We start from the raw sequence: 26860 nt of genomic DNA on the forward strand, positions 1-26860 counted from the left end.
ACATTATTAAAAAGCTATCCCAAACATTAGACATTAGATGGCAATACCATACTCCCTGGCACCAACCCTCATCAGGGAGAGTAGAAAGAATGAATCAGACCTTAAAGAACCACTTAACCAAGTTAGTCTTAGAGACTCGATTGCCATGGACCAAGTGTCTTCCTATTGCCCTGCTGAGAATTTGAAATGCACCACGGAAAGATACTGGTCTTTCTCCTTATGAGATGCTCTATGGATTGCCTTATTTACACTCCGCTGCTGATACTCCTACCTTTGAAACAAAAGATCAATTCCTAAAAAATTATATACTTGGTCTATTTTCTACTTTCTCTTCTCTTAAAACTAAAGGTCTATTAGTACAGGCGCTGTCCTTAGAGTTCCGGGTGCATCAAGATCAGCCTGGGGATCACATCCTCATCAAAAGCTGGAAGGAGAAGCTCAAGCCAGCCTGGGAAGGTTCTTACTTAGTGCTCCTAACTACTGAAACCACAGTCCGTACAGCTGAGAGAGGATGGACTCATCACAACTGAGTCAAGAAAGCGCTGCCCCATCCAGAGTCATGGGCCATAGTCCCAGGGGAAAACCCTACACCAAACTAAAGCTAAGAATTTAACTCTTTGATCTATTACTCTTTCTTCTTTCCTTGCTCTATTGCTGACCATCTAGTATTAACATAACCAAGTCATTTTCACCTCAAACTACTGCATTTGATGCTTGCCTTCTTATACCCTATAAGGACTTGCCAAGTCGAAGACAGATCTCCACTTCAGAAAAGTACCTCTGTCCCTCCTGGCTCTCCTCAGACTAGGTATTAGTGAATTGGGACCATTTAATCCAGGGAGATTTCAATAGACCCCAGTGTCAACCAGGAGTCTTACCCTCAATGTAGAGCTTTTATGCCATAGTTGGTCCAACATTCTGTGGACCACTAAAGAGCAAGGATGGACTGCCCCAAAAGGTTTTTGTAATTTCCTAAAACTAAACTAAAACTCTTTTCCAGGATTCTACAGCCTGGGGTAACAAGTCATGCCAAGCTCTCTCTCTGCTACATCCCGAAGTTTGACACCCTGCAGGTCAGCCCCCGAGGGCCATCCAGCTTCCATCCCCCAACACTAAGTTCACTTTGTGTCTCTCATGACAGGGAGGAAACTTAGCATTCCTTGGAGACCGGAAGGGATGCAGTGAGCTTAAGAATTTTTAAGAGCTTACCAGTCAGTCAGCCCTTGTTCGTCCCCGAGCAGATTGTGGTGGTATTGTGGTAGACCTTTACTGGATACTCTGCCAAGTAACTGGAGTGGCACCTGTGCTTTAGTACAATTAGCTATCCCTTTCACCCTGGCATTTCATCAACCAGAGGAAGAAAAAATAGGACATTGTAAGCAAGAGAAGCCCCTTATGGGTCCTTCAACTCTCATGTCTATTTAGACGCAATTGGAGTCTCATGGGGAATACCAGATCAATTTAAAGCCTGAGATCAAATAGCTGCAGGATTTGAGTCAATATTTTGGTAGGTGACAATAAAAATGTAGATTGGATACACTATATCTATTACAACCAACGGCGATTTATTAACTACACTACAGATGCTGTTAAAGGAATAGCTGAGCAATTAGGGGCTACTAGCCAGATAGCTTGGGAAAATAGGACAGCCTTAGACATGATATTAGCAGAAAGAGGAGGAGTTTGATTCATAATTAAAACTCAATGTTGTACCTTCATCCCAAACACCACCGCCCCTGATGGAAATATAACAAAGGCATTGCAAGGTCTGACTGCTCTGTCTAATGAGTTAGCCAACAACTCAAGGGTAAATGACCCTTTTATAGAATGGCTAGAAAAGTGGTTCGGTAAATGGAAAGGAATAATAGCCTCAATTCTTACTTCCCTCGCAGCCGTAATGGGTGTACTTCTTCTTCTTGGGTGCTGTGTCATATCACGCATCCATGGGTTGGTACAGAGGCTCATAGAAATGGCACTTACTAAAATCTCCCTTAACTATCTCCACCTTATCCAGAGAAGTTTCTCCTTTTGGAAAATCAAGCAGAACAACTAAGCCAAGACATGTTAAAGAAGTTTGAAGAGAAAGAGCTATAAGGAAAATGTGAGAAGAGGGAATTATTAGATATGAGTTCTAAATTTCTCTTCAAAGAATCAATATGTCAGTATGTTCAATTCTTGGCCTTCTACTTTTAAACTTAACTTCCTCGTAACCCAACCTTTATCGATCACCTGCTCCACCCTGACTCATTCTGATTACCTGCTCCTCCCTGACTCATTCTGATCTACCCTGGCTCCCGCCAAACCACTCACCCTGTCATTCTCTTTAAATTAGCCAACCGGAATTAGTTTAGCCTGTGTGGTCTAACCCTAGCCAATAGGGGAATGACACAGCAGCAGGAGCCATACGCGTAAGGGATAAGAACCCCTTCCCCTCCCTTGTCCAAGTGTGAGCTTACCATTGCTCCATCTGTAAGGGCGTACCCTTCTACAGAAGTAAATCGCCTTGCTGAGAAGTAAAAAAGAAAATTGTATATTCGAGTGCTATTTCTTTTGCAGCACCAAAACCTTACTTATAACACAGTAAAGGCACACTTATAACCAGGAGGTGCCCTGCTCTGAGTCCTGAGTAACGAGCAGCAGCTAGGCAGGACCTTTGAGCTGAGAAGCCCAGCTCCATGGAGCCTCTTCTCTAAGCCTATTTTTTTTTTTTTTTTTTTGAGATGGAGTTTCACTTGTGTCACCCAAGCTGGAGTGCCGTGGCACCATCTCGGCTCACTGCAACCCCCGCCTCCTGGGTTCAAGCGATTCTGCTCCCTCAGCTTCCTGAGTGGCTAGGATTACAGGCACATGCCACCACACTCAGCTAATTTTTGTATTTCTAGTAGAGATGGGGGTTTCACCATGTTGGCCAGACTGGTTTCAAATCCTGTAAGCCTTTCGGTTGTGGTAGGTGGCCCTTCCTGTCATTTCTCTGGCTCAGGGGAAAGGGCTGCTCCCTGCACTCATCAGCTCTAGGTTGCCCCAGGGCTCTCCGTTGCTTACAGCCCCCCAACATCAATTCAACTAATTCCTTAGACTGTTGGTTTATATTCTCTCTCTCCGGCATAAATTTGTACTAAATTCTCTCTACTGAAATACCTTCTGGTTGTCTTTTAATCCTGTGGCCAGCTGAATTCCAGTAAAACACAGCTCACAACAGTTCCTTAAAGGCCCAGGCTACCTGAAAGCCCACAAGCTACCTGTTTTAAAAATGGAATAAGGTGCCCAAGCTCCGTATCAATGATCTTGTACCATGACGAAGAAACTATGGGCTGCATTTCAGCGCACTCACCCTCAATCATATGTCTTACATAGGACACATCTGTAAATGGTGAACCTGTCAACGGTAATGGTAATGTGTCATCTCTGCATTCACCACTTCTAATATTCTCACTGAAGTACTAGATGATAATTATATAGACATTAAATTATGAAACTCCTACAAATATTCCAGACCTTTCTTAGAACAGGCTAGGATCACCAGAATGACCCCCAGACATACCTGGCGTGAGTGAAGTTTCTTTTATTCAAAATTAGAAAGGCATGAGATATATGCTAAGAATTATTTATAGTTTAAGAATACTCATATTTTAACTTTTTTATTACTATTTTTTTTTTGAGACGGAGTCTCGCTCTGTCACCCAGGCTGGAGTGCAGTGGAGCGATCTCGGCTCACTGCAAGCTCTGCCTCCCGTTCATGCCATTCTCCTGCCTCAGCCTCCTGAGTAGCTGGGACTATAGGCGCCCGCCACCACATCCAGCTAATTTTTTGTATTTTTAGTAGAGACAGGGTTTCACCGTGTTAGCCAGGATGGTGTTGATCTCCTGACGTCGTGATCCACCCGCCTCAGCCTCCCAAAGTGCTGGGATTACATGCGTGAGCCACGTCGCCCGGCCTCATATTTTTATTCATTAAACGCTTTTTCACATAATATATAGTCCTGTGTGAATGCAAAATATCTGAACCAGGTTTCAGTCAATTTAGATAGTTTATTTTACCAAGGTTAAGAATGCGTCCATGACACAGCCTCAGAAAGTCCTGAGACATGTGCCCCAGGTGGTTGGGGGTACAGTTTGCTTTTATGCATTTTAGGGAGACATGAGACATCAATCAATATGTGTAAAATGTACACTGGTTCTCCGGTAAGGTGGAAGTGGGGCTTCCAGGTTAGGAGTAGCTAAGAGACAGAGGGTTGCATTCTTTTGAGTCTTGATCAGCCTTCCACTGAATACACAATTTAGTCTGCCTCAATAAATCTGCATTTTTACATAAACAATAGGGGAGAGAAGGCAATCATATGTGCATTTGTCTCAGGTGAGCAGAGGGATAACTTTGAAAAGAATGGGAAGCAGGTTTGCCCTAACCCGTTCCCAGCTTGACTTTTCCCTTTAGCTTAGTGATTTGGGGTCCCAAGATTTATTTTCCTTTCGCACCTGTAACTACACCTAGGGATCTCTGAAACTGTATTACTTTGAGGTGGTGTGTAATTTAGGAACAATTTTGTGTTAAATGAGATTGACATGACTTCTGGAATAAGGGCATGGGGAGTTTTGCAGACGCTCTCGCCAGCGGCAAAAACAAAAACAACCCTTTGAAGCCTCTGGAAAATGTCCTAAGACCACACAGCAAATGAAGAAACATTTATTTAAGAAAATCAACCACAGCTTAATAAGAACAGTGAGAATCTGTGCATTTGTGCCATGACCCGCTCTTTTCTCCCTTTTCCAACTACTTTCCACTTCTCCGAAGCTCAGAATAAGATCCACTTCATGTGGGTGCAGCCAAGAACACAAGACTCCCTCTCTCCTTAAGCTCCCAGTCAAGGAATGAAAGGACTGTGGTCTCTCCCTAAGAGGGACAGGCTTGTCAGCTTGTTTCATGTGCCCCAGTTCCACCTTGCACAGGCTATAATTCCAGATAAGAGCCAGAGAACTGGGGGCTATCTTCCTCCACCCAGCCCCCATTCATAGGTGGGAAGCTCTACCCAGGCACAGTAGGCTAAGAGTATTTAACCCCTGATTACCCTCACCCAAGAGCCAAGTGAAGAGGTTCCATCCCAGGAGAGGCAAGCCAAAAGACCAGAGGCTGCCACCCCAGCCCAGCATCAAGAGTCTGGCTCCAAGAGAAACAAACCACTGCCCTGCCCCCATCTCTGCAGCAGTGGCCCAGAGGTTTTACCCAAGATGCAGAAAGGAAGAACAGAGTTCTGAAGCTCTCCCCAAGTGAACTTGCTAGCAGGAGTAACTCTGTTTGGGTCTGCAGCAACCTCAATTCTTGCCCCCTCAGGAGAAAGAGTTCGACCAAGGGGCACAAGGCAGAGTGATCTTGGTTGAGGCAAATTTTAGAGCAGGAGTGAAAGTTTATTAGAAAGTTTAAAGCATAAATGAAAGAAAGTAAAGTACACTTGGAAGAGGGCCAACTGGGCGACTTGAGAGATCAAGTGCATGGTCTGACCTTCTGACTTGGGGTTTTGTATGCTGACATACTTCTGGGGTCTGGCGTTACTTCTCCTGATTCTTCCCTTGGGGTGGGCTGCCAGCATGGACAGTGGCCTGCTCGCACTTGGGAGGGGAGCGTGCACAGTGTGTTTATCAGAGGCGTTTGAACCACCCATCTTGAATGGGGGCTGGGTAAAATAAGGCTGAGACCTACTGGGCTGCATTCCCAGTAAGTTAAGGCATTCTTAGTCACAGGATGATACAGAAGATCAGTACAAGATACAGGTCATAAAGACCTTGCTGATAAAAACAGTTTGCAATAAAGAAGCCAGCTAAAACCCACCAAAACAAAGATGGCGATGAAAGTGACCTCTGGTGGTCCTCACTGCTACACTCCCACTGGCACCATGACAATTTACAAATGACATGGCAGCATCAGGAAATTAACCTATAAGGTCTAAAAATGGGAGGTATGAATACTCTATCCCTTGTTTAGCATATACTCAAGAAATAGCCATAAAAATGGGCAAACAAGCCAGCCGTGGTGGCTCATGCCTGTAATTCCAGCACTTTGGGAGGCCGAGGTGGGCGGATCACAAGGTCAAGAGATCGAGATCATCGTGGCCAACATGGTGAAACCCCGTCTCCACTGAAAATACAAAACATTACCTGGGTGCGGTGGCATGCGCCTGTAGTCCCAGCTACTCAGGAGGCTGAGGCAGGAGAATCGCTTGAACCCGGGAGGCGGAGGCTGAAGTGAGCCGAGATCGTGCCACTGTACTCCAGACTGGTGACAGAGTGAGATTCCATCTCAAAAAAAAAAAAAAGGGAAACCAGCAGCCCTCAAGGCTGCTCTATGAAGCAGTCATTCTTTTATTCCTCTACTTTCTTAATAAACTTGCTTTCACTTTACTCTATGAACTCATCCTGAATTCTTTCTTGCAGGAGATCCAAGAACCCTCTCCTGGGGTCTGGATCTGGACCCCTTTCCAGTAACATAATTACTGGAGTTGTGTGCATTCTTGCTGAGGCGTTCTTCCCTTACCAGCCGAAAGTCCCTAGGAGGTCATATACCAGTTAAACTTCCAAGACCTTGCCTTCGTGTGCATGTGTGAGCCCACTCAGCCAACTCCTGAGATCTTATCAGAATGCTGATCACCAGTTTCATGTTTTTTCTGTCTTCTGGGAGACTACCTTTCCCTGGCACTGGCTGCAACCAATTATTATTTTAGAAAGACAGTTAACAACTGCCTGACCGTCACCTGATGCTTGCCTGACATTCCCGGTTGTGGAGGCTCTCTCCTGCCCTGTTTATGTCTGACTAGCTACCTACTGTAACAAACTAACTTTATTTTGAACAGAAGGTGTGGAATTTTAAGCCTCAGCACACTCTTGAAAATAACGGAGATTGTGGTGGTGAGCAATTAAGAGGAGGCTGGGAGCTCCATGAGAAGAATCCGCTAAACCAAAGACCGGAGAAGTTTATGAGAGAATCAAGGTATGAGACAGCGAGAAGAGCCTTCTGGGCTGGGAAAAACCTCAAAGACTATTCAGAAAGATTACCTATGCAAAGGATCTCATATTCATTGGATCAGATGGTGGGGCAACTTATGTCCCAGGGCACTGTTGAAAAGAATAAAGCAATCAATCTGCAATTAGTGGAGGGTAACAGTGCTCTGTAATGCCAACTGAAGCACACAGTTTAACACAAAGAGCAGGGAAAGAGACAAAGTGAGCCCTGCGAAAACTAAAACCACTGTAATCCCAGGAGTACTATGCCCATGTCAAAAAAGCTGCTGAGGAGTGACATCTCAGCTGCACATGCTGAAGGAATACAGTTTACTAAAATAGTGGAGCCATGACACTAAACAAATAAGCAAACTATCACAACAAGCCTGGGGAGGAGGTGAATTAGCATTCAAGTTGTTACGATGTATTTGTCAGGCCTCTGAGACGAAGCTCAGCCATTATAACCCCTGTGACCTGCACATACACATCCAGATAGCCTGCAGGAGCCAAGAAGTCTGGAGCAGTCAAAGAAAAACCACAGCCAAAAACCACAGCCAGTTCCTGCCTTAACTGATCAACTAAAATTATAATATTTTACTATTGTGACGTGTCCCTGCCCTACCTTGGCTGATCAGTCAACTTTGTGACATTCTTCTTCTGGACAATAAGTCTTAGGATCTCTCCACCACGCATCTTGTAACCCCCTCCTCTGCTAACAATAGATAACCACCTTTTACCGTAATTTGCCATTACCTACCCAACTCCTATAAGGCAACCCCTTCCTTATCTCCCTTTGCTGACTCCCTTTTCGGACTCAGCCCACCTGCACCCAGGTGAATTAAAAGCTTTGTTGCTCACACAAAGCCTGCTTGGTGGTCTCTTCACACAGACGCGGTTGACAGTATTACCTAAAATGTCCAGTTTTCAGCCGAAAAAAGAATATGAGATATGCAAAGAAAAAGGAAAATGTGACCCATTGGTAGGGGAGAAAAAGCAGCCAAAAAAGTTAACTTTGAGAGAGTTTAGCTGCCAGACTTAGCAGGCAAAAACTTTAAAGCAGCCAATAAAAATATGTTCAAAGAATTAAAAGAAAGGAAAACATGCTTAAAAATGTAAAGGGAGATATGGTCGCCATGTTTCATCAAATAGAGAATATCAATAGAGGGAAATTTTTAAAAAAGGATATCAAGATGTTGAAAGTACAATTCTTAAAAATTCCACTAGAGGGGCTCAACCAGAGTTAAGCCTATAGAAAAAAATGAGCATACTTGAAGACAGATGAATATAGATTATGTAATCTTGTAACTGAGTGCTTGCATTTTTCTAAGAAAAAAGGAATGAATTGCTATTTTAAAAATTATTTTCTGTTCTCTTCTCCCCTTTCCCTATTCCCCGTTTGTTTCCTACTCAGCCCTTCAGAAACGCAAATTTAATCTTTTACACACTTTCCCCTCACCAGACATACCCTGCAGGGCAAGTTCTTCTAACTAAGCCTCCAAGACAGATCTCTCCTAGAGAACTGACAGTCAATTTGCAGACCAAACCATACTGGCCAGCGAACTTTCACCTCCAGGGGGTGGTCTTGAAATTTCCACCCTCTAGGTGTTGCCACTCTTGTGGGGAGTAGGGGGCACTTTCATCCACCAGGAGGACATATCGAAATCATGCCTGCTTGGCCACTTTTACAACTTATTCCTGCCCAGGAAGGTGCCAATTAAACTGTGTTAGATTAGGCACCAGCTAGCAGTGGGAGCCCTGCCCTCGTTCACTTCCCCCCTTACCTTATAAAAGTTTCCGCTTTCTGCTCCAAAGGTGAAGCAGCACATATAAACGCAGGATGCTGTATGCCTCATTCCCTAAGCTAGCTTTGGAAGAAACCATTTTCCTTGTACCAGACCTTATTCTTGTTAATCAGACTCTAAATGTGGCATGCAGCTAATCAGGTTTTTGGTTACAATCTGAAGGTCAGAGAGATACAAAAATGAAGACAAATGACCACAAACTTCAGAGAAACTTGTGACATTATTAAGACAACTTAGGCATTATTAACACAACTTAGGTAGTCCCAAAAGGAAAGCAAGAAAAAAAGGTAATATTCAAAAAATTATGGCTGAAAATGACCCACATTTGATGAAAAGCAATGTACACATCCAAAAAGAACAACTAGCTCTGAGGTGGACAAATGCAAAAAGATCCACAACCAGATACATCATCGTAAAAATGTTGAAAGTCAAAAGCAAAGAGAAAATGTTAAAGGAAGCAAGAGAAAAACAACTTGCCATGTACTAGGGAACTATAAAAGATTAGCAGTTGATTGTTAATTAGGAACAATGGAGCCCCAAAGATGGTAACATGACATATTCAGAGTACAGAAAGAAAAAAAAAAACCCATCAACCAAGAATTTAATACTCAGTAAAACTATCTCTCAAAAATAAAGACCTATTTCAAATAGATCTTTCAAAAATAGAGACCTATTAAAAAAAAAAAAAGAGAGAGAAGGACCTAACAGACATACAAATAGCCAACAAGTTTATGAAAGAATGCCCAATATCGCTAATCATCAGGAAAATGCAAATCAAAACAACGAGATGTCACCTCACCCCAGTTAAAATGGCCATCATTAAAAACACACACACAAAAAATAATATATGCCGGCAAGGATGCAGAGAAAACCAAACTCTTTTACATTGTTGGTAGGAATGTAAATTAGTACAGCCATTATGTAAAATGGTATGGAGGTTCTTCAAAAGTAAATAGAACTACCAAATTACCCAGCAATCCTACTACTGGGTATATAGACAAAGGAATTGAAATCAGCAGGTCAAAGAGATATCTGCACTCTCATTTCACTGCAGCATTATTCCCAACAGTCAAGATATGGAATCCATCAAGAAACGAATGAATAAAGAAAATGTGGTACATACACACGATGGAATACCATTCAGCCTTTAAAACAAAAAGAAATTATGTTGTTTGCAACAAAATAGATGAACCTGGAAGACATCATATTATGCTAAGTGAAATAAGCCAGGCAGTGAAGGACAAATATTACACGATCTCACTTAAGTGGGGAATCTAAAAAAGTCAAACTCATAGAAAGAATAGTGGTTACCAGAGGCTGGGGGAGGAGGGAGGACCAAGGAATGGGAGACACTGTTCAAAGGGTACAAAGTTTCAGATGGACGGGAGTAAGTTTTTGAGATCTACTGCACAGCATGGTGACTATACTAATGTATTTTGTGTTTCAAAGCTGCTATGAGAGTAAATTTCAAATTACCACAAGGATAAGTACAGTGATGGATATGTTAATTAGCTTGTTTTAATCATTCCACATTGTATACAAAATTATATACATGTCAAAACATCACACTGTATGCCACAAATATATGATCTGTCAATTAAAAATAAGAAAATCAAAATAGCTCACCTTCTGTGTCCTCCACCATATCAAGTTTAACCGCCTTTGTTCCATCAAAACAAAATGCCCTGATGGAATTCAGCCCTAACAATAAGGCATTCTGTTTGATTTTTTCTACTTTGTTGAAGATTTTATCCAGTGCTATAACTTCTCCCTAAAAAGAAACAAAACACACACATGCAGAAAAAAAAAAAGAAAATTATAAATCCAAAGCAGTCATAAAAATAATGAGAAAAACATGAAAAATTATGGTCTTTTCCACCATACTCCCATCCCTAATTTAAAACCTCTATCCATTAACCAAATGTATGTGTCTGGAATTTATTCCTTCTGGTGGGTTCTTGGTCTCGCTGACCTCAAGAATGAAGCCGCAGACCCTTGCGATGAGTGTTACAGTTCTTAAAGACGTTGTGTCCGGAGCTTGTTCCTTCAGATGTTCAGATGTGTCTGGAGTTTCTTCCTTCCGGTCGGTTCATGGTCTCCCTGACTTCAGGAGTGAAGCCGCAGACCTTCGCAGTGAGTGTTACACCTCTTAAAGGTGGCGCGTCTGCAGTTGTTTGTTCCTCCGGGTGGGTTCGTGGTCTTGCTGACTTGGGGAGTGAAGCGGCAGACCTTCGCAGTGAGTGTTATAGCTGTTCAAGGTGGTGCGTCCAGAGTTGTTTGTTCCTCCCAGTGGGTTCGTGGTCTCGCTGACTTCAGGAGTGAAGCCGCAGACCTTCGTAGTGAGTGTTACAGCTCACAAAGGTAGTGCAGACCCAAAGAGTCAGCGGCAGCAAGATTTATTGTGAAGAACGAAAGAACAAAGTTTCCACTATGTGGAAGGGGACCCTAGCGGCTTGCAGCTACTGGCTCTGGTGGCCAGCTTTTATTCCCTTATTTGGCCCCGCCCACATCCTGCCTATTGGTCCATTTTACAGAGCGCTGATTGGTCCATTTTACACAGTGCTGATTGGTGCATTTACAATCCTTTAGCTAGACACAGAGCACTGATTGGTGCGTTTACAATCCTCTAGCTCGACAGAAAGGTTCTCCAAGTCCCCACTCGACCCAGGAAGTCCAGTTGGCTTCACCTCTCATGTATATCCAATTCACATTAAATACTTATGGCTTTCCATTAAGAAAATACACATTCTTGCCAGAAAAATAATCTTATAATAACTAGCTACTTTTAATCAACAAAACTCAACACCAAAAGTATTTGCAATCTTCGAAAGACACTTAAAAACATCCACTGGAGGCAAACATTAAAAATCACCAATTTGATGTGCCTTGCTCACCTCTGGAACAACATGAGCTAATGCTATTAGACGGCGGCCTTAAAGTGCTTTGAGATGCAAATGAATGTTACTTGTATGACTGGTCATTTTAATATTTCCCAGCTAGCCACATATAATTCCTGTGAACCCTGGCAACCAAAACTGGAAAAATATAAGCCAAAACCTCTGTATAGCATAGCAAAATATTTTGGTATGGTATAAAACGCAGTTCAAGAAAATTTTATATAGTAACACTTTAAGTCAAAGTCAATAAAGATAAGAGGTCAAAATTTGGGAGGGGCCAAGAGAGCTGAATAGAAACAGCTCCAGTCTGTAGCTCCCAGCGAGACCAATGCAGAACGTGAGTGATTTCTGCATTTCTAACTGAGGTACCCAGTTCATCTCACTGGGACTGGTTAGGCAGTGGGTGCAACGCACGGACAGCCAGCAGAAATAGGATGGGGCGTCACTCACCCAGGAAGTGCAAGCAGCTGGGGGGCCTCCCTCCCCCAGCCAAGAGAAGCTGTGAGGAACAAACTGTGCTACCCAGGCTGGGTACTACGCTTTTCCCATGGTTTTTGCAATCCACAGATCAGGAGATTCCCTCATGAGCCTACACATGGGCCCTGGGTTTCAAGCACAAAACTGGGCGGCCATTTGGGCAGGCACCGAGCTAGCTGTAGTTTTTTTTTTTGTACCTCAGTGGCACCTGGAACCCCAGTAAGACAGAACCGTTTACTCCCCTGGAAAGGGGGCTAATGCCAGGGAGCCAAGTGGTCTCACTCAGTAGGTCCCACTGTCACGGAGCCCAGCAAGCTAAGAACCACTGGCTTGAAATTCTCACAGCCAGCACAGCAGTCTGGAGTCAACGTGGGATGACCGAGCTTGGTGGGCATCCGCCATTACTGAGTCTTCAGGAGGCTGTTGTACCTTGACAGTGCTAAGGAGACTGGGAGGTTTGGACTGGGAAGAATTGACCGCAGCACAGCAAAGCAGTTGTGGCCAGACTGCTTCTCTAGATTCCTCCTCACTGGGCAGGGCATCTCTGAAGGACAGGCAGCAGGCCCACTCAGGGGCTTACAGATAAAACTCTCATTTCCCTTGGACAGAGCACCTGGGGGGAGGGGTGGCTGTGGGCACAGCTTGGGCAGACTTAATCTTTCCAGCCTGCGGGCTCTGAAGAGAGAAGCTGATCCTGACAAGGGGGATTCTCCCAGCACAGTGTACCAGCTCTGCTAAGGGACAGATTGCCTCAAGTGGGTCCCTGATCTCCGTGCCTCCTGACTAGGAGAGACCACCCAACAGGGGTCGACAGACACCTCATGCAGGAGAGTTCCAGCTAGCATCGGGCCAGTGCCCTTTCAGATGAAGCTTCCAGAGGAAGGAACAGGCAGCAATTTTTGCTGTTCTGCAGCCTCCACTGGTGATACCCAGTCAAACAGGGTCTGGGGTGGACCTCCAGCAAACCGCAGCAGACCTGCAGAAGAGAGGCCTGTTAGAAGAAAAACTAACAAACAGAAAGCAACAACATCAACAAAAAAGACCCCCACAACAATCCCATCCAAAGGTCATCAACCTCAAAGATCAAAGGTATATAAATCCATGAAGATGAGGAAATAACAGCACAAAAATGCTGAAAATTCCAAAAACCAGAATGCCTCTTCTCCTCTAAATAATCGCAACTCCTCTCCAGCAAGGGCACAAAACTGGACAGGGAATGAGACTGACAAACTGACAGAAGTAGGCTTCTGAAGGTGGGTAATAACAAACTCCTCTGAGCTAAAGGAGCATGTTCTAACCCAATGCAAGGAAGCTAAGAACCTTGATAAAAGGTTACAGGAATGGCTAACTAAAATAACCAGTTTAGAGAGGAACATAAATGACCTGATGGAGCTGAAAAACACAGCATGAGAACTTCTTGAAGCATACACAAGTATCAATAGACAAATCGATGAAGCAGAAGAAAGGATATCAGAGACTGAAGATCACCTTGCTGAAATAAGGCATAAAGACAAGATTAGAGAAAAAACAATGAAAAGGAGTGAACAAAGCCTACAAGAAATATGCGACTATGTGAAAAGACCAAACCCATGAATGACTGGCATACCTGAAAGTGACAGGGAGAATGGACCAAATTGGAAAACACACTTTAGGATATCATCCAGAAGAACTTCCCCAACCTAGCAAGACAGGCCCAAGTTCAAATTCAGAAAGTACAGGGAACACCACTAAGATACCCCTCAAGAAGAGCAACCCCAAGACACATAATCAGATTTTCAAAGGTTGAAGCAAAGGTTAAGGGCAGCCAGAAAGGAAGGTCAGGTCACCTACAAAGGGAAGCCCATCGGACTAACAGCAGATGTCTCTGCAGAAACCCTACAAGCCAAAATAGAATGGGGGTGAATATTCAACATTCTTAAATAAAAGAATTTTCAACCCAGAATTTCACATCTAGCCAAATTAAGCTCCATAAGCAAAGGAGAAATAAAATCCTTTCCAGGCAAGCAAATGCTGAGGGATTTTGTCACCACCAGTCCACCCTTACAAGAGCTCCTAAAGGAAGCACTAAATATGGAAAGGAAAAACCAGTAACAGCCACTGCAAAAACACACCAAAATATAAAGACCAACGACACTATGAAGAAACTGCATCAACTAACGCGCAAAATAACAAGCTAGCATCATGATGACAGGATCAAATTCACACCTAACAATATTAACTTTAAATGTAAATGACCAAATGCCCCAATTAAAAGATACAGACTAGTAAACTGGATAAAGAGTCAAGACCCATCGGTGTGCTGTATTCGGGAGACCCATCTCATGTGCAAAGACACACACAGGCTCAAAATAAAGGAATGGAGGAATATTTACCAAGTCAATGGAAAGCAAAAAAAAAGTAGGGGTTGCAATCCTAGTCTCTGATAAAACAGACTTTAAACCAACAAAGATCAAAAAAGACAAAGAAGGGCATTACATAATGACAAAAGGGTCAATGCAACAAGAAGAGCTAACTATCCTAAATATATATGCACCCAATACAGGAGCACCCAGATTCATAAAACAAGTTCTTAGAGACCTACAAAGAGACTTAAGACTCCCACACAATAATAGTGGGAGACTTTAACACCCTACTGTTAATAGTAGATCAATGAGACAGAAAATTAACAAGGATATTCAGGACATGAACTCACCTCTGGATCAAGTGGACCTAATAGACATCTACAGAACTCTCTACCCCACATCAACAGAATATACATTATTCTCAGTGCCACATGGCACTTATTCTAAACTCGACCACATAACTGGGAGTAAAACACTCCTCAGCAAATGCAAAAGAATGGAAATCATAACAAACAGTCTCTCAGACCACAGTGCAATCAAATTAGGACTCAGGATTAAGAAACTCACTCAAAACCGCACGACTACATGGAAATTGAACAACTTGCTCCTGAATGACTACTGGGTAAATAAAACAATTTAGGCAGAAATAAAGAAGTTATTTGAAACCAATGAGAACAAAGAGACAATGTACCAGAATCTCTGGGACACAGTTAATGCAGTGTTAAGAGGGAAATTTATAGCACTAAATGCCCACATCATCAAGCTGGAAAGATCTGAAATCGACACCCAAACATCACAATTAAAAGAACTAGAGAAGAAAGAGCCAACAAAAGGTAGCAGAAAACAATAAATAACTAGAGCAGAAATGAAGGGGACAGAGACACAAAAAACCCTTCAAAGAATGAATTGAGGAGCTGGTTTTTTGAAAAGATTAACAAAACAGACCATTAGCTAGACTAACACAGAAGAAAACAAAGAAGAATCAAACAGACACAATAAAAAATGATAAAGGGGATGTCACCACTGATCCCAAAGAAATACAAACTGCCATCAGAGAATACTATAAACCCCTCCATGCAAATAACCTAGAAAATCTAGAAGAAATGGATAAATTCCTGGACACATACACCCTCCCAAAACTAAATCAGGAAGAAGTCAAATTCCTGAATAGACCAATAACAAGTTCTGAAATTGAGGCGGTAATAGCCTACCAACTAAAAAAAGCCCAGGACCAGATGGATTCACAGCAAAATTCTACCAGAGGTACAAAGAGGAGCTGGCACCATTCCTTCTGAAATGATTCCAAACAATAGAAAATGATTCCTCATTTTATGAGGCCAGCATCATCCTGATACCAAAACCTGGCAGAGACACAACAAAACAAGAGAATTTCAGGACAATATCCCTGATGAATATCTATGCAAAAATCCTCAATAAAATATTGGCAAACCAGATCCAGCAGTACATTAAAAAGCTTATCCACCACAATCAAGTCAGCTTCATCCCGGGGATGCAAGGCTGATTCAACACACTCAAATCAAAAAACGTAATCCATCACATAAACAACCAATGACAAAAACCACATGATTATCTCAATAGATACAGAAAAGGCCTTCCATAAAATTCAACATCCCTTCATGTTAAAAACTCTCAATAAACTAGGTATTGATGGAACATCTCAAAATAATGAGAGCTATTTGTGACAAACCCGTAGCCAACATCATACCGAATGGGCAAAAGCTGGAAGCATTCCCTTTGAAAACTGGCATGAGACAAGGATGCCCCCTCTCACCACTCCTATTCAACATAGTATTGGAAGCTCTGGCCAGGCTAATCAGGCAAGAGAAAGAAATAAAGAGTATTCAAATAGGAAGAGAGGAAGTCAAGTTGTCTCTGTTTGCAGATGACATGACTGTATATGTAGAAAACCCCATCGTCTCAGCCCAAAAACTCCTTAGGCTGATAAGCAACTTCAGCAAAGTCTCAGGATAAAAAATCAGTGTGCAAAAAAATCACAAGCATTCCTTTACACCAACAACAGACAAGCAGAGAGCCAAATCATGAGTGAACTCCCATTCACAATTGCTACAAAGAGAATAAAATACCTAGAAATGCAACTTACAAGGGACATGAATTACCCCTTCAAGAAGAACTGCAAACCATTGTTCAGGGAAATAAGAGAGGACACAAACAAATGGAAACAAATTCCATGCTCGTGGATAGGAAGAATCAATAACATCAAAATGGCCATAATGCCCAAAGTAATTTATAGACTCAACGGTATTTCCATCAAGCCACGATTGTCTTTCTTAGCAGAATTAGAAAAAAATACTTTAAACTTCATATGGAACCAAAAAAGGGCAAGTATAGCCAAGCCAATCTTAAGCAAAAAGAACAATGCTGGAGGCATCATGCTACCTGACTTCAAACTATATTACAAGGCTACAGTAGCCAAAACAGCAATGTACTGGTAACAAAACATATAGACCAATGTAACAGAACAGAGACCTCAGAAATAACAACACACATCTACAACCATCAGATCTTTGACAAACCTGACAAAAACAAGCAATGGTGAAAGGATCCCCTATTTAATAAATGGTGCTGGGAAAACTGGCTGTCCATATGCAGAAGACAGAAACTGCACCCCTTCCTTACACAAATATTAACTCAAGATGGATTAAAAACTTAAATGTAAAACCCAAAACCATAAAAACCCTAGAAGAAAACCTAGGCATTACCATTCAGGACACAGGCATAGGCAAGGACTTCATGACTAAATCACCAAAAGCAATGGCAACAAAAGCCAAAATTGACAAATGGGATCTAATTAAACTAAAGAGCTTCTGCACAGCAAAAGAAACTATCATTGGAGTGAACAGGCAACCTACAGATTGGGAGAAAATTTTTGCAATCTACCCATCTGACAAAGGTCTAATAACCAGAATCTACGAAGAACTTAAACAAATTTACAAGAAAAAAAAATCCCATCAAAAAGTGGACGAAGGATATGAACAGACACTTCTCAAAAGACAACATTTATGCTGCCAATAAACATATGAAAAAAAGCTCGTCATCACTGGTCATTAGAGAAATGCAAATCAAAACCACAATGAGATACCATCTCACGCCAGTTTGAATGGCGATTAAAAAGTCAGGAAACAACAGATGCTGGCAAGGATGTGGAGAAATAGGAGAAATAGCCTTTACACTGTTGGTGGGAGTGTAAATTAGTTCAACCGCTGTGGAAGACAGTGTGGCGATTCCTCAAGGATCTAGAACCAGAAATACCATTTGACCCAGCAATCCCATTACTGGGCATATACCCAAAGGATTATAAATCATTCTGCTATAAAAACATATGCACACATATGTTTACTGCAGCACTATTTACAATAGCAAAGACTTGGAACCAACCCAAATGCCCATCAATGACAGACTGGATAAAGAAAATGTGGCACATAGACACCATGGAATACTAAGCAGCCATAAAAATGAATGAATTCATGTCCTTTACAGGGACATGGATGAAGCTGGAAGTTATCATTCTCAGCAAACTAACACAGGAACAGAAAACCAAACACCACATGTTCTCACTCATAAGTGGGAGTTGAACAATGAGAACACATGGACACAGGGAGGGGAACATCACACACGGGGGCCTGTCAAAGGGTTGGAGGTAAGGGGAGGGATAGCATTAGGAAAAATACCTAATGCATGTGGGGCTTAAAACTTAGATAACGGGTTGATAGGTACAGCTAACCATCATGGCACATGTATACCTATGTAACAAACCTGCACATTCTGCAGGTGTATTGCAGAACTTAAAGCACAATTAAAAAAAAAAAAAAAGGGCCAAAATTTTAAGAATGCATCGTGGGCCAGGCACAGTGGCTCATGCCTGTAATCCCAGCACTTTGGGAGGCCGGGGCAGGCAGATCACTTGAGGCCAGGAGTTTGAAACCATCCTGGCCAACATGGTGAAACCCCATCTCTACTAAAAATACAAAAATTATTCGGGTGTGGTGGCATGCACCTGTAAGCCCCACTACTTGGGAGACTGAGGCATGAGAATCGCTCAAACCCGGGAGGCGGAGGTTGCAGTAAGCCAAGACTGGGCCACGGTGCACTCCAGCCTCAGCGACAGAGCAAGACTCTGAGAAAAAAAAAAAAAAAGAAAGCAAGCCTGGTGACATTCATATATTTTAAAACATACTATGAAATGGAATTGCAAATACAGTGAGAATGACTCTTCTATATATTTTCTTGCTTTGTTTTCCCTTTTCTTTTACACTGCCCTTGTATGCCATATGCAGCAATGGCATAGCCTACAATGCAGACAATTTGTAAATATTCCTCAAATACTACCAGGTTCAGTGATAGACACTTTCTGTTTTTTTTTGTTGTTGTTGTTTTTTGTTTTTTTTTGAGACGGAGTCTCACTCTGTCACCCATGCTGGAGTGCAGTGGCGCGATCTTGGCTCACTGCAATCTCTGCCTCCCAGGTCCAAGCGATTCTCCTGCCTCAGCCTCCCAAGTAGCTGGGACTACAGGCACACGCCACCATGCCCAGCTACTTTTTTTTGTATTTTTAGTAGAGATGGGGTTTCACATGTTGGCCTGGATGGTCTCGATCTCTTAACCTCGTGATCCAATTGTGGCTCAAATATTTCTATTCCGGTTGTTCGTGTCTGCATTGCTGCCCCACTGTGGCTGACTGCCTACATAGCCTCAATTCTTCAACTTTCCATGTATATTCACTCTTCACCAGATAATCCTGCAATATCCAATATGCTGTCACTCTGATGGGATTCAGTCATGTGATTTGTTTTGGCCAATAAATAGGGTGACAGTAGATGTCATGTAAGCAGAGGTTTTTTTTAATACCATGAAAAGCACTTGAACAGTTGGACTTGCTCTGCTTTGCTCTCTGCCATCACCAGCCCCCAACTACTGCCCTCTGCTGGGCCAGCCTGCTGGTCCCAATCAGGGGAGAACTTACACATCGGCCAGAGGCAGGGCATCCCTGTCATCTCAGCTGAGGCCACTTTAGATGAGCCAACAACCATCCAAGACCAAGTGAATGGGCCCACCCAAGATCATCAGAAACACCCAATTCACCTGCAGGTGACCAGTACATGAGTGAGCCCAGCAGGGATCAGCTGAATCCCATGGACTCCTGAGCCCCCAAAATGTTTAGTTGTATGCCGCCAAAATTTTGTGTCTTCACACATCATAAAACCAACAGAAAACTGATACACCCATAATATCCAGACTCCCTTTGGAAAGACATTTTTACTAAGAGAGAACCAAATCTCTATGAATAATTACCTTTAAGCAAATACGATAAATATGCCATAATTTAATGGAGAATTAACACTTTCTCAAAGCCGATCATGATCAATCTTTAATCTTCCATATAAAGTGAAAAATGATTTGCATTAAACATCACAACGCCACAAAATCAACCCTTCTTATTTCAGGTGCTTTATTTTAGGCCCTAGTTGTATTTAATGCATTTTTCCTTCAAGAGTTTTTGTTACCACCTTAAATTCTTTTGGGGCAAAGAAGAGTATAAATAAGCAGGCAAGTATATCCTCTCTAATGAGTATTACATTCCTCAAAATGTAAACAACAAATATCCTTTTCTCTTTTTTGATTCTCATTCTCAGTATTTAAAAAATATCCTTTTTTATTGGAGATCTTTCTTAGACCAAAATGATAACTTCAAATAGTAAATATTCTATATGTATGTGTATATGTTTATGTATTATACAACTATGTTTATATATTTTAACATATACATATTTCACACTTTGATAATATACTGTGAAATTAGTTTTTAATGGCAGAATATATTTTAATAGTTTAAACAACTATGAAATCTTATAAGAAAATGAAATAATCTAAATGTATTAAATTTAATTTCTTAACAGATTAAGTCTATAATCATATAAGCAAATTGTAAAATTCAAGACGGTCTTGAGACAGTCTTCATAAATGATCATTGTCTACTGAGCTTAATATGTAGTGACTGACATAACTGAATAGTTTTCATTTTGGCTGAATCTGAACTAAATGAGACTGTGAATGGCTCTATGTTTCAGAAATTACACATTGTGAAATATACACTACTTTGAGAGTGGATTTGCTGTGAAGACAGTCTCACCTGATCATGCATTAGTGCTGCAATGTGTGTTGTTTTCCCTCCAGGTGCTGCACACAAGTCTAGAATCTTCTCTCCAGGTTGAGGATTTAGTACATGACTTACTAAGGCAGATGGCAAATTCTATAAGGAAAAAAATGTAATCGATTATCAATAATCCTAAAGCATTTTTAATTTGAGAACCAGAGAATATAAAGAACCCTTTGGGGGTAATCCACTACAGCATCCTCACGTCTGCTAAGAGGACAATTTTTATAAATATACTCAGGTTAGGAAATTCACAATTTCCTAGAATATCCTACGATCTCCCAGGACTTACACACAAACCACCTGCGCAAAAATATACATGACACAATTTTCAAGTCAACTGAACTCAATTGCCTTATCAGTATTTTCTGGGTACCAGCAAAAAATAAATAAATAAATAACCCATATTATTTCCTTTTCTGAATCCCAATGGTTCTCAATATTCTGGAAGCCAGAGACCTCTAAAATTGCAGGACCACTCTGGACTTTTTTCCCAAAAAATGTACAAAATTTTGGTCTCAGCGGTCATTACTCAGCATTTTAGTACAAAAGCATGCCATTTTCATATAGACATATCATCTGAGAGTACTTCAATCTCAGCATTGTTCACTTTAATAATTTAAACTCCACTTGGGAACACATAAATATTAAATAATTGGTTTCTTCCAGTTAACCAAGAATATAACTTTGCCATTTTGGCCGCCTCATCATCTAACTCTCATTTAAGATGCCTTGTTTTATGCTGCTAAATCACCCAAAAGGCATGTTTGGGTCCCTGCTTCCACCACATTTCAACAGGAAATGAACTAAAATGCAAAAACAAACAAACAAACAACGACAACAACAAAAAACCTCAAACCCTGGCTGTTTCTGACTGGGACCTAAATATATATTATGAGGTTATACAACCAAAACATACCTCATCTATAGCAGTAAGTCATATTAAATCATTAATTTGTTATTAGTATCAATTATATAAGGACTACTTACTATAGAATGATAGCCTTGAATAAAACAGATAGAACAGTATCATAAAATAACTCATTTCTAAAATTATTTGGCAAGAAAAACAGAGTCTTATAAGCATGGAGTTACTTGTTTGGTTATTTTGGAGACAGAGTCTCATTATTTTGCTTAAGCTGGGTTCAAATTTGGGATCCTCACAATTGTGCCTCTTAAAGCTTAAAGGTTTCAATTCATTCCTACCAAAAGACTGAACAATACATCCATTAGTACACCCTCAAGAACTGTGAGATGGCCAGGAGTGCTGGTTCATGCCTGTAATTCCAGCACTTTGGGAGGCCAAAGCGGGAGGATTGCCTGAGGTCGGGAGTTTGAGACCAGCCTGACCAACATGGAGAAACCCCATCTCTACTAAAAATACATTAGCTGGGCATGGTGGCACATGCCTGTAATCCCAGCTACTCAGGAGGCTGAGGCAGGAGAATCACTTGAACCCAGGAGGTGGAGTTTGCAGTGAGCAGAGATAGCGTCAATGCACTCCAGCCTGGGCAATAAGAGCGAAACTCCATCTAAAAATAAATAAATAAATAAATACATACAAACATACAAAAAAACTGTGAGATGGCTACAACATTCTCAAGGGAATCTAAGATCACCACTTTGAAACAAACTCAGTGGTGAGAAAGCAGTTTCAAACAAGCAAATTTCTTCCTCTGAATATATGAAGCATTAAAATCAATGCAAACAATTTAGGCACCCAAAGAGCTAAGTGTCAGGCCTCTGAGCCCAAGCTAAGCCATAATATCCCCTGTGACCCGAATGTATACATCCAGATGGCCTGAAGCAACTGAAGATCCACAAAAGAAGTGAAATTAGCTTTAACTGATGACATTCCACCATTGTGATTTGTTTCTGCCCCACTCTCATCAATGTACCTTGTAATCTCCCCCACCCTTAAGAAGGTTCTTTGTAATTCTCCCCATCCTTGAGAATGTACTTTGTGAGATCCACCCCTGCCCGCAAAACATTGCTCCTAACTCCACCGCCTATCCCAAAACATGTAAGAACTAATGATAATCCCATCACCCTTTGCTGACTCTCTTTTCAGACTCAGCCCGCCTGCACCCAGGTGAAATAAACAGCCTTGCTGCTCACACAAAGCCTGTTTGGTGGTCTCTTCACATGGACACGTGAGACACTAAACACTAAAAATAGCTTAACCTACTATAGTTTATCCAGCAAGCTCTACTTATTTATTTTTATTTTTGAGACAGGATCTGGCTCTGTTACCCAGGCTGTCCGGGTCTCAGACTGTCACCTAGGTTGCAGTGCAGTGGCACAACCACGGCTCACTGAAGCCTCAACCACCTGGGCTCAATCAATCCTCCCACCTCAGCCTCCCGAATGGCTGGGACTACAGGCACACATCACCTCACTCAGCTAATTCTTTGTATTTTTTTGTAGAGACAGGGTTCCCCCAAGTTGCCCAGGATGGTCCTGGGCTCAGGTGAGCTGCCCACGTAGGCCTCCCAAAGTGTTGGGATTACAGGAGTGAGCCAGTATACCTGGCAGCAAGTTTTATTTATTACAAAAATATTTAAATTGAACTCCAAGATGAAAACACTAATACACGTTTAAAGCGGCTAAAGATTTGGTGATTCTTTATCTAGAGACAGCTGGCTATGCTTCACTCCTAAAAATGATAACATTAATGGATTGGCCAAAGATTATGTAAGTTTCCATTCAAACATAAGAAATACATTAAGAACTTTCTGATTTGTAATAAGTGAAAAAATATAAAACAGCCCATGTGACGAGGCTTAATTAAATATTCAAATAGCAGGCTTATTTTTTATTTTTGGAGATAGAGTCTTGCTCTGTCACACAGGCTGCAGTGCAGTGGTGCAATCAAAGCTCACTGCCACCTTGAACTCTTGGGCTCAAGAAATCCTCCCACATCAGCCTCCAAATGAGCTAGGACTACAGGCGTGTGCCACCACACCTGGCTAATCTTTAAAATTTCTTGTAGAGATGGGGTAGCACTATATCACTTCTTGGACTTCTGGCTAAGATCAAGCATTGAGATGGGGTTGCAGTATGTTGCCTAGGCTAGTCTCAAACTTCTGGGCTCAAGTTATCCTCCTGCCTTGGCCTCCCAAAGTGCTGGGATTACAGCTGTGAGCCACTGTGCCCGGTGACAGAGTTTTCTTAAAATAATTTACAACTTTCCTTTATAATATTCCTTTACACTGGTTATGCAGTATAATCACCGGGTAAGCTTAGGAAGAAAAGTCTGGGCCTTATCTAGTAAAATCAAGTCAGAATTTCCAACACTGGAGCATCAGTGGTTTCAAAATCACCCTAGGTGATTCTAGTGGGCATGGAGCCATGCGCCACTGCTGGACTACACTGATTACCACATAGCTGCACATTAGAATCACCTATGAAAGCTTTCAAACATCTGACCCAGGCTCTAACCCAGACAAAGGAAGGCCGCCATAGGTGGTAGGGCCAGGCAGGAGTATTTATTGAATGCTCCCTAGATTGTCCAACCTCTTTAAATTGTTTACAAGAAATGAGGCAATTAAAAAATTCAGTTTCAGGCACCATTTTTTTCTTCCAGTGAACCAAGAATATAACTTTGAAAACAGTTGCTGTATTTAACTGTCAACCCTTTATTAGACAATTAGTTCAACTGAAGGGCATCTAATACTTCTTAATTCTGTGGATTGTGTTTAAGCAATTTAAAAGTTTCCTTTTTGATTTTGGAAAACCAAATAATATAGTACAGTTGTAATTTTAATGACTGTGTACAACACTTCTATTAACTTTACAAAGTATCTTTGGGTAATGTAAGATGCTAAAATTAAAAATTATCCCTTATCACTAGCCCCTCACAATACACCCCACTTACCACTAAAAAGCCCCCATCACAATGTGAAGCTTTTGTATTGGCTGTTGGAAGCCACAGGGGGTATTGGCTTGGGGGGATAACAGTTTTCCAGGAAGAGGCAAGAGTCATCAAAAACCAAAGCAAAACGAAAAAAAAACCCCACAAATTTCCCAAATATTTTTGCACAAGAAAGCATGTAATTATGTCCTCCTGTCCTGTACAATAATTTCAGTAATCACATAGAATGAAAAAAGAGGCCGGTTGTGGTGGCTCATGCCTGTAATCCCAGCACTTTCAGAGGCCTAGGTCGGAGGACCGCTTCAGGCCAGGGGTTCCAGACCAGCCTGGGCAACATAGTGAGACCTCATCTCTATAAAAAAATAAAAAATTGGCTTCACATAGTACTGTGTACCTATAGTACCAGCTCCTTGGGAGGCTGAGGCAGGAAGATCACTTGAGCCTGGAAGATCAAGGCTGCAGTGAGCCATAATCCCACCACCACACTCAGCCTGGGAGACAAAGCCTCAATAAAACAAAAAAAGAGAAGAGACTACTACCTGGCCGGTGCAGTGGCTCATGCCTGTGATCCCAACACTTTGGGAGGCTGAGGCAGGTGGATCCCCTGAGGTCAGGAGTTTGAGACCAGACTGGCCAATATGGTGAAACCCCACCTCTACTAAAAATACAAAAATTAATTGGGTTTGGTGGCACACACCTGTAAGCACAGCTACTTAGGAGGCTAAGGCATGAGAATCTCTCAAAACTGGGAGGCGAAGGTTGCAGTGAGTGGAGATCATGCCATCGTACTCCAGCCTGAGTGAAAGAGCAAGACTCCATCTCAAAAAAAAAAAAAAATATATATATATATATATACATATATATATATATATGTATATATATATATATTATATACTAGCTGCCAAACTCTTGTGCCTGGTAGACAGATTTCAAGGTGTAACTACTTTGGCCACTCACCTTATGAACTACCTCATCTTCTCAAGTTAACCAGTTATTGAATGTCATTCAAGAAACCGTATCAGTTTTCTTAAGTTATAAACCAGTGCAGGCTTGAGATAATATATATTCAAAGTGCCTAGCACAAAGCCAACTTTAAATCAAAGCTGGCATAGATTCCTAGAATGTTATCTTGCATGAAGATGCAGCTCATGATTTGAGTATCTTTTTCCCTGTATTTTAGAAGATATTTTGAAACATGCCAAGCAAAATAGAATTTTAGTTCAAAATGAAACTACGTCACAGACTTCTCTGTGGGCCCAGATTTCAAATGGCAGAACTGCAGGAAAGTAGCAAACCAGAATAACACCTGGATTTCAACTTGAACCCTTTGTTCCAAGGAACCGAGTGTTTCAGTGTATGTTCAGCTCCCTTTAACCTCAAAGCTCCTTACTGAGATGTGGCAGGAGTAATTTTCCTAGTGGCTGGACTAAGACATAACAGTTATGAGCAGAACTAGGAGCAGGAAACAGGGCACTAGAGCTGAGGTTCCCTACATTGCTGCTGGATGAGTTTTGGGGTTTGGGGTGAAGAAACACTTTATTCCCCAAACCAGCTGGATTAGCAGTTCTCATTTTTTTACTTATAAAAGGAAATAAGGCTGGGTCTGGTGGCTCATGCCTGTAATCCCAGGACTTCGGGAAGCTGAGGCGGCCAGATCACCAGGTCAGGAGTTCGAGACCAACCTGGCCAACATGGTCCCCATCTCTACTAAAAATACAAAAATTAGCTGGGCATGGTGGTGGGCGCCTGTAATCCCATCTTGGGAAGCTGAGGCAGGAGAACTGCTTCAACCCGGAGGCAGAGATTGCAGTAAACTGAGATTGCACCACTGCACTCCAGCCTGGGTGACAGACTAACACTCTATCTCGGGGGAAAAAAAAAGGGAAATAAATCCATCAAGATGCTGGGGGAGAGTGGCTTTGTGAGACAGGTAATTCCCCCTTCCTGGTAATGGTGGGGTTGTTTTGTTTTGTTTTGAGATGGTGTTTCGCTCTGTCACCCAGGCTGGAATGCAGTGGCGCAATCTCAGTTTACTGCACCTCTGCCTCCCAGGTTCAACTGATTCTCCTGCCTCAGCCTCCCAAGTAGCTGGGATTACAGGCATGCACCACCACACCCAGCTAATTTTTGTGGGGTTTTTTTTTTTGTTTTTTTTTGAGACGGAGTCTTGCTCTGTTGCCCAGGCTGGAATGCAGTGGCGCAATCTCGGCTCACTGCAAGCTCCGTCTCCCAGGTTCATGCCATTCTCCTGCCTCAGCCTCCCGAGTAGCTGGGAATACAGGTGCCCG

At 42.0% G+C, this 26860-nt stretch overlaps 1 protein-coding gene across 21 annotated transcripts in view; it reads right to left on the reverse strand.

The window, feature by feature from the left end:
- The window catches only part of NSUN6 (NOP2/Sun RNA methyltransferase 6), a 113767-nt gene that overhangs the window by 29973 nt on the left and 56934 nt on the right, over positions 1–26860 (reverse strand). For 20 of the 21 annotated variants that reach the window (XM_024447884.2, XM_011519385.2, NM_001351116.2 and 17 more), the window contains 2 exons: positions 20675–20794; positions 10416–10560 (listed from right to left, as the gene is read on the reverse strand). In XM_024447884.2, coding sequence (XP_024303652.1) covers positions 10416–10560; positions 20675–20794 — 265 coding nt within the window. Of the gene's footprint in view, positions 1–10415; positions 10561–11169; positions 13140–20674; positions 20795–26860 lie in introns of those variants that run through there. The other variant, XM_047424784.1, reaches the window with a different exon arrangement.

Source organism: Homo sapiens, chromosome 10 (genome assembly GCF_000001405.40).
Source record: "Homo sapiens chromosome 10, GRCh38.p14 Primary Assembly".
In the NCBI taxonomy this organism is placed as follows: Eukaryota; Metazoa; Chordata; class Mammalia; order Primates; family Hominidae; genus Homo; species Homo sapiens.